The 1,842-nt window shown below is 38.6% G+C and overlaps 1 annotated feature.

The window, feature by feature from the left end:
- Window positions 861-1,061: a silencer, noted in NCBI's record as "peak4065 fragment used in MPRA reporter construct". NCBI's record gives its function as "represses an SCP1 promoter by STARR-seq MPRAs in K562 erythroleukemia cells {active_cell/tissue: K562}" and the evidence as "EXISTENCE:reporter gene assay evidence [ECO:0000049][PMID:32103011]".

Here is a 1,842-nt window from a genome sequence, read left to right as displayed (position 1 = left end):
GCAAATGTTGCACCAAATGGAAACACTCAGTTAAAGATCTGCCAAGTTACTGCAGGGATTGACCATTTGTAATGGGCTATTATTGAGTCTCACAGTATCTGTAGAAATAGAGGGCAGAAAAGAAGGAGGGGGGAACAAAGTACATACTGCTACACAAAACAACAAAAGACAAATTATTTTACAGCAGACTTTTCTACCCCACCACAGCTCTCATAGCTGTGCAAGTCATTTAGCTATGTGGTTTTAGCTCTTATTTGTGATTGCTGTCAGATCTATAATTTTAAAGGCAACGTAATAACTGGTGTTCAAACAGGAAAATAGAGACCACGGTATTTGCAATGAAATGCAGGAAGGAAAGGAAAACATGAGCTGGTTGGCAGTTTGTAGATCATTATTGCCCTTGCTTAATAATGTAATAGATGCTTCGAAATTGCTTTGAAGTAGTTGCCAACTTCTTCACAGTGCTGAGAAATCTGATACTTCTGCCTTTAAACAGTGTGTGAAAGTGCAAATGGTAGTACTTGTGAATTCATTCAACAACTTCCAAACTGTAGTCTGGGCAGGGAATGGGAATATGAAGACTGAGAAAGGAGGAGGAAATGGTCTCCGCAAGATTCCATGGTTGGATGTCAGATTTGGCTGACTTAGAGTTACGCAGACTTGAACTTTACAGAGATAAACAGTGGTCTCCCCAAAGGATCTAAAGGAATTAAAAGAAGGAACTTTGATCTTCTTTACAATTTTTATTTAATTTAATAAGCTCATGGTAGAGTTAAGTGAAAGGCAGCTCAACTCACATTTAATAAAAACACTTACTGGGATACCAAATTTAATAGATGGCTTTTAGAAGGTGGAAATTTGTATCCAAATCATAAAAGGAAGTAGGTCAGAAGAATATTTCTTGTGCTTGAGCTGAGATGACCACTGCAGAAGACTGGCCCAGTCTTTTGCGGAAATAGTTTTCTGTTATCTGACTTCCCTTCCTGAGCAGGTGGTCCATGTGCTGAAGTTTTTGAAAATGTCAAGAGGCATTTTTGTAAGTGTCATAAATGTCATACAGGAAACTGGGGAAGCTTTCTTCGCAGAGCTGTGTTATGACCTTGGCTATATACGTAATCCCTGTTGCATTTAGGGAGAACATGATAACTAGATTGTTGTCCTTGCCCAATTTGCCTGCTAACAAAGTGGGTTAGAACAAAGATTGACTCCCTGCCTGCTCATTGCCTTCTGCGTTGTGTAAGAAAGAAGTCTGAATCTGTGGCTTTACATCTTTCTGAAGCAACAAGCTACTAAGTTAGAAGAGCAGAGTGATGGCTTTCTTGTGTGACAAACTGGGACATTCAAAGTAGTCATGTACTAAAATCAAGAGGGCTTTATTTGAACACTGGTGAAGAACAGTAAAGTTTCCTTGCAAGCGTGTATCATATAGGGACAGTGTAGATCTCCATAAAACTTTCCTCAATAAAGGAAATATTCTAAATTTGCATTGTCCAACGTGGTAGCCACAAGCCACATGTGGTTACTGAACCTGAAGAACTGAATGTTTAGTTTTACTTATTTATAATTCACTTACATTTAAATAGCCATGTATGTTTGGTGGAGTCTATATTGGACAGCACAGTCCTAGAAAAACAGCAGCAGGAATGTGAGCACCTGCTTCATGTACAAGTAAAAATTGTGGAGAGAATGTCAAGTGCATGTTTTTAATGTATTGGGAGTTTCCATGAACTTTTCTCGTGAAGCTGCAAGGCTGATCATAAAATAAGACGTGTTTCTGCAGTATAATAACACTCTCATTAAAAAAAGAAAAGAAAAAAACCCCGAGGTTACAGGTGTTCCTGG

The sequence above is a fragment of the Homo sapiens genome, chromosome 2 (assembly GCF_000001405.40).
Source record: "Homo sapiens chromosome 2, GRCh38.p14 Primary Assembly".
NCBI classification, from domain to species: domain Eukaryota; kingdom Metazoa; phylum Chordata; class Mammalia; order Primates; family Hominidae; genus Homo; species Homo sapiens.
The sequence above is the reverse complement of the archived record's forward strand: the minus strand, read 5'-3'. Positions and strand labels throughout refer to the sequence as shown.